The sequence below is a fragment of the Homo sapiens genome, chromosome 20, assembly GCF_000001405.40.
Source record: "Homo sapiens chromosome 20, GRCh38.p14 Primary Assembly".
NCBI lineage: Eukaryota > Metazoa > Chordata > Mammalia > Primates > Hominidae > Homo > Homo sapiens.
The window spans coordinates 38,631,883-38,645,102 of record NC_000020.11 but is presented as its reverse complement, the minus strand read 5'-3'; the positions used below and the strand labels follow the sequence as shown (position 1 = coordinate 38,645,102).

At 48.7% G+C, this 13,220-nt stretch overlaps 1 protein-coding gene across 1 annotated transcript in view; it reads right to left on the bottom strand.

Moving 5' to 3' along the window:
- ARHGAP40 (Rho GTPase activating protein 40) overlaps positions 1-13,220 on the bottom strand; it is a 48,845-nt gene that overhangs the window by 5,551 nt on the left and 30,074 nt on the right. Inside the window, exons 6-11 of the mRNA NM_001164431.3 lie at positions 10,318-10,483; positions 7,304-7,395; positions 6,265-6,342; positions 5,717-5,876; positions 3,295-3,377; positions 1,193-1,399 (exon numbers count right to left, since the gene is read on the bottom strand). Of these exons, the coding sequence (NP_001157903.2) occupies positions 1,193-1,399; positions 3,295-3,377; positions 5,717-5,876; positions 6,265-6,342; positions 7,304-7,395; positions 10,318-10,483 (786 nt within the window). The remainder of the gene's footprint in view (positions 1-1,192; positions 1,400-3,294; positions 3,378-5,716; positions 5,877-6,264; positions 6,343-7,303; positions 7,396-10,317; positions 10,484-13,220) is intronic.

The following is a 13,220-nucleotide window of genomic DNA, read 5'->3' as shown; positions in this document are numbered from 1 at the left end:
AGTGTGAAGTACTAGATGAGTTTGGAGTGCCAGCTGGCGTTTGCTGTGTTTAGAACACAGACGAGTGCCCAGGCAGGGTAGGAAGAAAAGTGGGAACAGTCAGAGAGGGCTTCACTTGCTGGTTTCTGGAATAGGAAATCTAACCTAATGACCATGGAAGAAGGAAGGGATAGAGGGAAGGACTGTGGGTGGATGGATGGGTAGATAGTGGGATAGATGCATGGTTTGGTAGATGAGTGGATGGATGGATGGGTAGATAGTTGGATAGATGTGTGGTTTAGTTGGATAGATGCATGGTTGAGTGGATGGGTGAATGAGTGGGTGGATGGATGGATTGGTAGATGAGTGGAGAGATGCATGATTGGTGGATGGGTGAGTGGATGATAGATTGGCATATGGGTGGATGGGGGAGTTGGAGGAATTAATGGATTGATGGGTGGGTAAGTAGATGGGTGGGGGGGATAGGTGGGTGGGTGAGTGGGTGGGTGACGGGCAGTTGCATAAATGGATGGGTGGGTGGATGGATGGATGGGTAGGTGGGTGAGTGGGTGGATGGATGGGAGACTGAATGGAAGGATGAATGAACAGATGGAGGGAAGAGGCTACGCATCGCTAGGTGAGAAAGCAGCCTGGTCAGCAGTGGTAGATGGTGCTGCCTTGTGTTCACAGGAGTCTCAAGAGCTGGAGGGGTCTCAGTGCTAGGGGCACCATGCATGCTGACACCGCAGAGGGGCCTCTCTCCTGCTCTGGCTCCTCCCCTTGCTGTCACTTGTTACTCAGGGCAAAGCTCACGGTGGGGGCAGGAGGGCAGGGGTATCCCTGTTATCTGGTTCTGGGCTCTGTCTTAGGCAGGCCCTGTGATCCTGGGCCTCAGGGATGGGGCTTTCTCAGCAGCATAAAAGCTTTGATGTGAAGGAATTATTTGCAGGAGTTGGGGGAACTCCTGCAATCTGGGGTAGACCAGATGGCAGCAGACTGACTGAGAGGCATGGCAGTGGAGACAGAAAGTGAAGACACTTCTTCTTGGTTACTAAGGCAGGGGGAGGAAGAAAACACAGGCCTGTGCAGAGGCCAACAAAGGTCCTGGAAGGGACACACTAGGGAACTGAAAGGACAATGCCCAGGCTCCTGGAGAGCAGGGGCGGCACGGCAGCTGCACCCAGAGGGATACCCAGCGCCCAGCAGCACTCACCGTCCACAGCAGATCCTGGTAGTGCACCATTATCTGCACCACCTCGGCTGCCCCTTCTGCCAGCTGCTTCTCCTTGCCTTTGGGGAGCTTGGGGGGCCGCCCTTGGTGCAGAAAGAGGTTAGGGGCCATCACGGTGGAAACATTCCTCAGAGTCATCTTGTTGTGCTGTTCCCGGGCCACCACCTTCCTGAGGAATTCCAGCAGTGCCTAGGGAAGGGTGCAGAGCCTCCCTCAAATCTCAGCCCATCCCTGGCGCCTCCCCACCATCCCCAGGGCATTCTGATGAATGATAAGGGGGTGCTAGGAAGGAGCCAGGAGCTGGGAGGGCAGCAAGAGGGGCTCCCGTTCCAGCTGTGTCACCGGCCCACTCCATGACCTCTCTGTGTCTCCGTTTCCTGCTCTGCAGTGTGTCCAAGACTCTTTCCCTCCCCTGCTCCCTCAGAGACTAATGAGACAACTGGGTCAGACTTCAACTTCCAGGTAGAAAAGGGCCACAGGTCTGGAACATGGGTCATTTCCTGGTGAGGCCCAGGATAGCTCCTTCTTTCTGGAGTCTGGGTCTACCCAAAATGCAAAGGAAGGAATAGAGAAGCAGAGATGCTGGGAGAAGCAGAGACACTGAGAAGAGCAGCAGAAAGTGATGAGAGCTACCACTTACTATGTATTCTTTGTGTTCCTGGGCCTTTAATTGGTACATCTCATTTAATCCTCACAGAAACTTTATAAGGTAGGTTTTTTTTGTTTGTTTTTTGTTTTTTTTTTTTTGAGTCAGAGTCTCACTCTGTCTCCCAGGCTGGAATGCAGTGGTGTGATCTTGGCTCAGCTCACTGCAACCTCTGCCTCCCAGGTTCAAGTGACCCTCCCACCTCAGCCTCCCAAGTAGCTGGGATTACAAGTGTGCACCATCACACCCAGCTAATTTTTTTATTTGTAGTACAGACGGGGTTTCACCATATTGGCCAGGCTGATCTCGAACTCCTGACTTCAAGTGATCCTCCCGTCTTGGCCTCCCAAAGTGCAGGGATTACAGGAATGAGCCACTGTGCCTGGCCAAGGTAGCTCTTATTATTGCATGTGTTTTACAGATAAGGAAACAAGCTTGGAGAATGTGCCAAGAGTCATATAGCCAGTAAGGACAAAGGGACGGAGTGAAGAAGGGAGGGAGGGATGGATGGATGGAAGGATGGATGGATGGATGAATGGAGAAAGAAAAGATTAATAGATGGACGAATGAGAATAAATGGGTGGTGGAAGGAAGAATAAATGGAAGGGAGGTGGGAGGGAAGGAGGGAGGGAGGGAGGAAGAAAGGAAGGGAGAGAGGGAGGGAGAGAGGATAGGAAAAGAGGACACATATTGAGTACCCTGCAAAGCATCATCTTCTACCCCATGATTCCTCATGAGTTAGCTTTTATGATTTCCAAAACAATTAGACAAGATGCTATTAATGCTATTATCATCCTCAGTTTACTGAAAAGGAAGCAGAAACTCAAACAGGAAGACCCGGGGCCTCCTCAGGCTGATCCTGGAGGCACATCTTGAGTCTGACTGAAGGACAGTCAAGACGGTACAGGGAGCTGGGCCAAGGCCCTGCATCCATTCCCATACGACAAGGAGAATTTGCTAAGGGTCTGTTTCCCAAACTGGTTCTGCATGGAACACCAGTGCCATGCAATGCTTTCCACAACAAAAGAGGTCTGTGATCAACTGAGTTTGGAGAGTGCTGCATACTCTAATCCCACTTGGAGATTCTCTAAAGCCTCAATATACCAAAGGCTTTGAGAAGTCCTGGGGAGAAAAGTATTCTTAACCTTGTTTCATGAACTCTGTGTTTACCCATCCATGCTTGGCCACAAGGTGCTAACACCTGTTAGCACCACGTGGAACTGACGCTCTGCAGTGCCCACTCCGGGACTATCCCCTTTCAGGACTCATCTACTTTCTTTAAGAAAAAGTCTCAAGAGAGGTTTGTGTGGGTCATCACTGAACCCTAGCACCTGGCAGAGTTGTTGAATGAATGAATGAATGAATGAGCACATTTGAAGCCATGGCTGTGGCTGTGGGCTGAGATGGCAGAGTGGTGGTGGTGCATGGTAACTCTTACCTTTAAGGCATTTCTGTTGGGTTCTGGGAGGATGAGGATGAGCAGGTGAAGAACCTGCAGGCGCTGCTTCAGGTTGGGGATGTCTGCGGGAAGGGAGGGACCTCAGTCTCCATGGGAGGCTCAGGGACTCCCTCCCTCAGTCTGGTCTCTTCTTGGGGAAATTCCAGAGCTGGAAAGCCAGGGGACAGCCAGGAATCCCTTTTTTCATAAGGTGTGGGACTATTTCCTTGTCTAATGTTGGCTCAGACAGAGCCCTGACCAGTGCTCGTGGGAGGTTCACTCGCTATACTTTGTGTAACAAAATAAACACACGCATGCATGTGCAGGCAAGCACATGCCGCACAGACCTAGATGCAGTCCAGGCTGCAGCCCAGGGTCAGAAATGCAATGAACCAGCAAATCACCCTTAGGAAGGGAGACAGAGAGCTCAATGGGCCCAGATAGAAGGTTTTCATGAAACCCTCTGTGTTGTGAGGGTTGAAAAGGAAAAGCTGTCTCACACCTGGTGTCAGGATCTCCGGGGAGAGGAGGTAGGTAGGAGGAGGTAGTAGTTATAGATTCAAAGAAGGAGTTCATCAGAGCCAGACAAGACCCAGCAGCTGAGAGCTGGCTGGAACCTGGAGAAGAGCTGCGTAGGAGACAGAGGCTGAGCACCCTGGGCGCCAGGCCTGCGACCCCATATGACCTACCTACCTACCTTCCTTCCTTCCTCCCTCCCTCCCTCCCTCCTTCCCTTCTTTCCTTCTCTCACTTATCAACAAATATCTATCAAGTACCTGTCAGGTGCTGTGCTCAGTCTAGGAATCTTGGACACAATAGTAAAGGAGGAAAACAAAGTCACAGGCTCATGGAGCTTACATTTCAGAGAGGAGACATAATACACAAGCAAAGAATAAATCAGAGTATGATGGGCATCATTGCATCATTATAGAGGCTGGCAGGCAGCATGATGTGTGGGGTCACGGAAGGCCCCTCGCAGGCAATGACAGCCAGCTGGAACTTGAATGGCAGAAAGCAGCCAAATGAGGGTGGAGGGAGGTTCCATTCAGACACAGCAGCAAGTGCAGAGGCCCCAGGGAAGGAAAGAGGAGGGGGAACAGCAAAGCGAGAGAGCCTGGCCAGACAGTGGGGAAGGAGGGGCCCAGGAGGAAAGGGGGCCAGAAATAGGCAGGACCTGAGCCGGAGGAGGTGGGCCTAGTAAGAAGTGGAATCTTATTACAAGAGTGCTGTGGAGGGTGGGCAACAGCATAGGGAAGGAATCTGATTTATGTTTTGCAATGAGGTTGAGGCCAAGCCTGATGGTTCATGCCTGTAACCTCATCACTTTGGGAGGCCAAAGTGGGAGGATCGCTTGAGGCCAGGAGTTTGACACTAGCCTGGGCGACATAGCGAGACCCCCGTCACTACAAAAAAATGTTAAACAAGTATGCCAGGCGTGGTCTCATGTGCCTATATTCTTAGCTACTTGGGAGGCTGAGGCAGGAGAATCACTTGAACCCAAGAGTTCAAGGCTGCAGTGAGCTAGGATCATGCCACTGCACTCCAGCCTGGGTGACAGAGCAAGACCCCATCTCTAAAAAAAAAAAAAAAGAAAGAAAGAAGAAAGAAGAAAGAAGAAAAGAAGAAAAGAAGAAAGAAGAAGAAAGAAGAAAGAAGAGGAAGAAGAAAGAAGAAGAAAGAAGAGGAAGAAGAGGAAGAAGAGGAGGAAGAAGAAGAAGAACAACAACAACAACCAAAACGCTGCGGTCGTGAGAATCAAAGGTCAGAGAGGACCTCTCAGGATCCCTGTCCCTAGCTTGGGGGTAGAAATCAGACTGCCTGAGCCTTGGAGCTTTTTGGAGAATTCAGAGAGACAGGGAGAACCTCACGGTTGTGAGTGAGATCTCAGGAGAGCTGCTGTATTTTTTTGAGAAAAATAGAAGTGACTATCTTTGTTCATTGTGGATTGTGAAGAAGTCCAGACAGGAACATATATATGCAGACTATACATACAGCAAGGTCCGTGCAACACATGCTGATCTGCAGATGTGCACACAGATGGACATGCACACACATGTGTGCCCACAGATACACAGGTAATGATGCTGATAAGCTCAACCCCATGGATGTCAAGATGTGAAGGAAACTAGTCCACTCATCCATGTGAGAACTAATAGGGACTGTAGTGTGCAAAACCTTAGCCTCCTCTCCTCACACACCTGCACACATGCCATACAACACACGCAGGACACGCGTGCACATGTGTATGTGCACACATTGGGCTCACATGTTCACACTTGCTTCTTCCCCCATCAGTTGGACATTTCTGGAACAGACATTTCCAGGAACACGGAGTCCTGCCTTTGCATGGCTTCCCCTCTCCACCAAGGCCAGTGAGCCAACTCTCCATCCCTGCACAGGCTAAGGGCTTGGGCACACTCACTAGGCACCACGGCGAAGGCCGGGAGGTACTCAGCCGTGAGCAAAGGTGTCGGCAGCTTCCGGATGAACCTTTTGAGCAAATCAGAGGCGTCATTGTGATGAACCTCGTCCCAGCTAAAAAGGCCAGCATAGAAGTCTCTCTCCAGTTTCTGTTCCAGCCCCTACAGGAAGGCGGGGCATGAAAACACAGTTGGCCCAGGGCTCTGGTAGAAGTCGCTCTACCACTTCTCTGGGGCTTGGTTTCCTCATCTGCAAAGTGGGGACAACAAGAGCACCTCCCTCGTGGGGTTGAAGTAAGGACGAAATGGTCTAACGTGCGTGTCACTGAGCACAGAGCTCTGCTCATTAAACGTTGGTGGCCTGACTCCAGGGCCCACACTCTCTGCCACCATGCTCATCATGCCACCTTCAGCCTCTCAAACCCTCGACCCACACAGAGACCAAAGACAGATCACTGGCGAGTCAGGGACTGGTTTCCCTCCCGGCTTAACACACATGTGAGCATGGGGGAGATGCAGCCTCAGTGAAGCCAGGAAGCCAAACCATTACCTTGACCCTGGCCTGGGATCCGGGCACCCTGAGAATGCCTTCCATGTCCAGTCCTCTCTTTTCCAAACAGGACAGCAGCTGTCAGAAAGAGAAACCAGCATTTAAACCAGGAACCGCTGAAAAGCAGGATTCAAAATGGTGTGTTTGTCTCCCATGAAAATCAGAAAGAGGGGAGTACCAGGAGAAGGGTTTCCTTCGGAATAATATTAGTTTTTGTGACCACTTCCATGAGCCCAGCATTCTGAGAGCTTCATACACATTTTTCTCATTTAATCATTGATAAGAGGAGGATACTGTTATCATCATCCCAATTTACAGATGTTGAAAGGGAGGCTAATGAAAGTTCAAAAATCTACCCTTGACTTTAAGATTCAGAAGTTAAAAAGAAAAGAAAAGAAAATCCACCCCAAGGATCACTTGAGGCCAGGAGTTCGAGACCAGCTTGGGCAACATAGTGAGACCCTGTCTCTACAAAAAAAATTAAGACAAAAATTTACTTATTTATTTATTTACTTATGTATTTTTTGAGAGAGTCTCTCTCTGTTGCCCATGCTGGGGTGCAGTGGCGCGATCTCGGCTCACTGCAAGCTCCGCCTCCTGGGTTCACACCGTTCTCCTGCCTCAGCCTCCCAAGTAGCTGGGACTACAGGTGCCCGCCACTACACCCGGCTAATTTTTTTTTTTTGTATTTTTAGTAGAGATGGGGTTTCACCGTGTTAACCAGGATGGTCTTGATATCCTGACCTCATGATCCACCCGCTTCGGCCTCCCAAAGTGCTGGGATTACAGGTGTGAGCCACGGCGCCCAGCCAAGACAAAAATTTATAAAATAAAAACAACAACATCAACAACAACAACAACAGCAAAAATCCACCCCAGGTCTCTGAGCCAGCAAGTGCCAGAGCCAGAATTTGAACCCAAGTCTGCCTGATTCTAAAGCACATCCTTTCACCCCTTTGCTGGATGTCTCCTGACAATGGTCCCCTGAGCCAGCCTCTGAAGGATTAAATAAACCCAAGCTGGGGTAGGGGCGACTTACGGCTTGAAGGACCAGCGGGACCTGTGTGCTGGGGAGGACTTTGTGGTCAGCTTCTAGCAGGCTGTCAAGGGGCACACCAAAGAGGCGAGTTTCTGCAGAAAGTCAAAGAGCAGAGGCACATTTCACTTCTTGGAATGATCACTGGGCTCCGACCTACAGGATCTCCTGGGCAACTAGAATCAGACCCCTTTTCCTGTGGAAGGACTGAGCTCTCTAGAGAATGGTTGGACCCAAACCGCTCCTCTTGAGCAGAACATTAGGCCTCAGCAGTAATGTTTTCATTAAAACATTACTGCTGAGGAGATATGTCTCAGAGCAGAAAATCTTAGCTGGTTAAAGAAGTATTGAAAGGGCCGGGTGCAGTGGCTCAAGCCTGTAATCCCAGCACTTTGGGAGGCTGAGACAGGCGGATCACCTGAGGTCAGGAGGTCGAGACTAGCCTGGCCAACATGGCGAAACCCTGTCTCTACTAAAAACACACAAAAAATTAGCTGAGTGTGGTAGCGGGTGTCTGTAACCCCAGCTACTCGGGAGGCTGAGGCAGGAGAATCGCTTGAATCCAGGAGGCAGAGGTTGCAGTGAGCCAAGATTGCACCATGGCACTCCAGCCTGGGTGACAAGAGCAAAGTTCTGTCTCACAGAAAAAAAAAAAAAAGTATTGAAAGGGAAGCACGCTGCTGCTCCAGAAGGCACCAGGTATAAAAATGTAACAGCAGTCCTGGATAGAGCTCTGGCTCTGCAGGATGGGCCAGGTCCTAGAGAATGTATTCCCTGGGTCAATCTTAACCACCCTGGCTTGAGGTCTTCTCAGGCAAACTCCTCCTTCCACATTTTCTCCACACCTTCCTTCTTTCTCCCTTCTCTGGCCTACCCCACCTCTGCTAGATTCCTCCCCCTGGTCTTTTTTTATTCACCATCCTCTTGTCTTTAAAGAAACAAACCAAAAAACCAAACCAAAACAAACCAAAAAATCACAATGCATAATGTTGACAATGCTGCAGTGAAATGAACACTTTCATACACTGCTGAAGGGCAATATTATCTCAGGAACTTAACTCATAAGTATAATCTAAAGTAAGCTAAGATGCATTCAAAAGCATATATACAGCAGTAATGATTGTGTCTTATAATAGGAAAGACATGGGCATCAAAAATGTCCACTAATAGGGAAATGGTTAAATATATTAGAATACATCCACGAGGAGGAAAATAGTGCAGTGATTAAAAATCATGTTTTCACCAGGCAAGGTGACTCATGCCTGTAACCCCAGCACTTTGGGAGGCTGAGGTGGGAAGATCATTTGAGCCCAGGAGTTCGAGACCGGTCTGGGCAACATAAAAATACTGCATCTCTACAAAAAATACAAAAATTAGCAGGGCATGATGGCACATACCTGCAGTCCAAGCTACTCAGGCGGCTGAGGTGAGAGGGTCACCTGAGCCTGGGGAGATTGAGGCTGCAGTGAGCTGTGATCATGCCACTGCACTCCAGCCTGGGCAAGAGAGAGAGACTTTCTCTCAAAAAAAAAAAAAAATAAATAAATAAAAATCATGTTTTCAAGGAATATTTAATAGTTGTGGTAAATGTCACTATTGTTCTAAATTCATTACCCCTCTTTGTATCCACACCCTCTGCCATGTGAATTTGCAAATCTTCCCATTAGGGAAGCACAGCGTACTTCCTCACCCCTTGCTAGGCCATGTGACTAGTTTGGACCAATGGCATGGTAACCTACAAGATGCAAGCAGAGGCTTAAAATGCGGTACAGTTTGCCCTCTGAGCTTCTGCTGTCACCATAAGAACATCCTCCAGACAGCCAGCTGGTCCCAGGAGGATGAGAGACCTGTGAGCAGACCTACACTCAGCCAACAACTTGGAGCTAAGCCTAGATCAGCCAAGCTACGCCCAGTTTACTCATAAACATGTGAGCAAGAGTAAAGAATTCTTAAGTCATGAGTTTGGGGGTTGTTTGTTATGTAGCATTATCATGACAACCACTAAATGATACAATAACTGGAAAATGTCCATAATTCTATTATATATAATGTTCTATAATATAGATCTATAACTATAATATATTCTATTATATATAATGGAATTATGAAACAGGGTCTCATAGTTCTATATATATAGAATGAGACAGAGTCTGTCTCTGTCACCCAGGCTGGAGTGCAGTGGCATGATCAAGGCTCACTGCAGCCTTCACCTCCCGGGCTCAAGTGATCCTCCCACTTCAGCCTCCCAGGTAGGTGGGACTAGAGGTGTGCACCAGCACGCCTGGCTACTTTTTTATTTTTTGTAGAGACAGGGTCTCACTATGTCACCCATGCTGGTCTCAAACTCCCAGGCTCAAGTGAGCCTCCCACCTCGGCCTCCCAAATTGTTGGCATTACAGGTGTGAGCCACTGCTCCCAAACCATAATTATATAATATTAGGTGAAAAAAGGATACACACATATACACACAAAGGAAGATAATACACTAAAAGTGCTTTTCTGAATTATATTTTTTCCTTTTTGTATTTTACTCTATTTCACAAATTTCCCACAATGAGCAGGAATTGTTTACATATGCAGAAAAAAAAATGTAAACAGAAGGAATATAGAAGCTGAGCATGCTGGCCAGGCGTGGTGGCTCACACCTGTAATCCCAGCACTTTGGGAGGCTGAGGCAGGCAGATCACGAGGTCAAGAGACCAAGACCATCCTGGCCAACATGGTGAAACCCCGTCTGTACTAAAAATACAAAAATTAGCTGGGCATGGTGGTGCGCACCTGTAGTCTCAGCTACTCGGGTGGCTGAGGCAAAAGAATTGCTTGAACCCGGGAGGCGGAGGTTGCAGTGAGCCGAGATCACATCACTGCACTCCAGCCTGGTGACAGAGCGAGACTCCGTCTCAAAAAAAAAAAAAAGAAAGAAAGACAAAGCTGAGCATCTCTTGCTGGGAGAGTCCGTGTTCAGCTCCCTATGAGGACTGTGGCCACAGGGCTTTCCCTGGGCTGGGGCTGCTCACCTGCCGCTTTCCACTTCCCCGCCTTGCTCCTCTTCAGGTCCAAGCCGAGGATGTCACAGAGCGCGGTCAGCTCTATGAGGGCCAGAGAAGGTACCTTCCTCATATCCTGCAGGGACAAGTCTCCTATCCTCGTCACGCCAAGTCTGCCTTTGGGGACGGTAAACTTCTATTAATAGAGAGGGAAGTAAAGACAATTTGTCAGGCTATGAGTCTGATGTGTATTTTGGGGCTCCCCCTTCTCCCCAGGGCATTTAGGCAGAAGGAAGAGCAGCGTGGATAAGAGCAAGCACTCAAGAGGAGTCCATCCTCAAGTCAAGTCCAAGCTCCACCTCTTGCAAACGGAGTGACATTCTGAGGCTCTGATTCTCCATCCATAATCATAAAATAGAGCCTACCTCAGAAGGTTTTTGCACGTTTGTTTGTTTTTTTCTTTGGAAACACGGTCTTGCTCTGTTGCCCAAGCTGGCGTACAGTGGCATGAACACTGCTGACTGCAGCCCCGACCTCCTGGGCTCAACTGATCCTCCTGCCTCAGCCTCCTGAGTAGCTGGGACTACAGGTGTGCACCTCGACACCTGGCTAATCTTTGTATGTTTTGTAGAGACAGGGTTTCTCTATGTTGCCCAGGCTGGTCTCAGACACCTGGGCTCAAGCAATTCTCCCACCTCAGCCTCCCAAAGTGCTGGAATTACAAGCATGAGCCACGGCAACGACCTCATAAAATTTTAGCGGGAGCAAATGACCTAATGGATATAGAGTGCTTGGTACAGTCCCAAGCACATAGCGAAGCCCCAAGAAACAGAAACTGTTTTCACTGCCTGCCCTTCCACAAGAGGACCTGGAGAAGAGGGATCACCCCATGGGCTTCTTATTATTGCTTCTACTCTGGTCCTTTGTTCCTCTGCCTCACCGGCTCTGTCCCCAGCCTTGGCCATGCCACCGGCAGAAATAAAGAATGCTCAACCGTGCCATCTAGAGGCCACCTTGGGAATCTGCAGGCAGCTCCAGGCTTTCCTGCCGCCCAAGGTCAGAGAAGGCAAGCGGGAGGGCCAGGCTTGCTCAGCACTGCCTGGAGGGCGTGGCTGGACCACTTCCCAGTGCCCCTTTCGAGTGCTCAAAGGGAAAGAAATAGTAATTGATGCTTATAATACAGCCTAGTGCTTGCGGCATGGGCTATGGAGTCACATCCCCCGGGGTTCAAATCCTGACTTTACCTGTGAGTGCACGCAAATAATTTTACCTGTGTGTTCATCTGCAAAGTGGAAGTGATAACAGTATCTACTTCACAAGACTGTTGGTGGGATTAAATTCAATAAAGTGTATGAAACATGGTGCCCGACACATAGTGAGTACTCAATACTTACTACTACTTTTTAGTTTATTAACACAGTTATCACTAACTTAATAGAATGAAATTAAATCAAATATGTGAAGTACTTGGCATAATGCTTAGTGTGTGGTAAAAGATCAATATGTGATGTCTTTAGCATTATTATTATTATTCAGAGGAGAGTCTTGCTCTGTCACCCAGGTTGCAGTGCAGGGGCACAATCACAGCTCACTGTAACCTTGAACTCGGCTCAAGTGATCCTCCTGCCCCAGCCTCCTGAGTAGCTAAGATTACGGGCACACACCACCACATCCAACTATTTTTTTTTTTTTTGAGACGGAGTCTCACTCTGCCACACAGGCTGGAGTGCAGTGGCGTGATCTCTGCTCACTACAATCTCTGTCTCCCAGGTTCAAGCAATTCTCCTGCCTCAGCCTCCCAAGTAGCTGGGATTATAGTTGTGTACCACCACACCCAGCTAACTTTTGTATTTTTAGTAGGGATGGGGTTTCACCATGTTGGCCCAGCTGGTCGCAAACTCCTGACCTCAAGTGATCTGCCTGCCTCGGCCTCCCAAAGTGCTGGGATTACAGGCATGAGCCACCATGCCTGGCCCACACCCAATTATTTAAAAAAAATTTTTGTAGAGATGGGGTCTTGCTATGTTGCCCAGGCTGGTCTCGAATTTCTGGCCTCAAGTGATCCTCCCACCTTGGCCTTCCAAAGTGCTGGCATTACAGGTGTGCGCCACCATGCCTGGCCCTTTAGCGTGATTAATTATTATCATCATTCATAATTTAATGGAGAAACACTGTCAAAGAAAAAGACAAGATAATGTTGAATATTAATTATCTCTGATGTTTTAGAAATAGAAACTCATTATTAAAAAATTTTAGGCCAGGCGCGGTGGCTCACGCCTGTAATCCCAGCACTTTGGGAGGCCGAGGCTGGCGGATCACGAAGTCAGGAGATTGAGACCATCCTGGCTAACACGGTGAAACCCCATCTCTACTAAATATACAAAAAATTAGCCAGGCATGGTGGCGGGCGCCTGTAGTCCCAGCTACTCGGGGGCTGAGGCAGGAGAATGGCATGAACCCAGGGGGCGGAGCTTGCAGTGAACCAAGATTGCACCACTGCACTCCAGCCTGGGCAATAGAGCGAGACTCCGTCTCAAAAAAAAAAAAATTTAGGCCGGGTGCAGTGGCTCATACCTGTAATCCTAACACTTTGGGAGGCTGAGGCGGGCAGATCACCTGAGGTCAGGAGTTCGAGACCAGCCTGGCCAACATGGAGAAACCCTGTCTCTACTAAAAATACAAAAATTAGCTGGGTGTGGTAGCACATGCCTGTAGTCCCAGCTACTTGGGAGGCAGAGGCACAACAATCACTTGAACGTCGGGGGTGGAGGTTGTAGTGAGCCGAGGTTTTGCCACTGCACTCCAGCCTGGGCAACAGAGTGAGACTGTTTCAAAAAAGAAAAAATTAAATAAATAAATAAATAAATATAAATGTTATTTGATGTACTATGATTAATGGAAAATATTATCACTAAGAGAAACTAGGTGCAGAG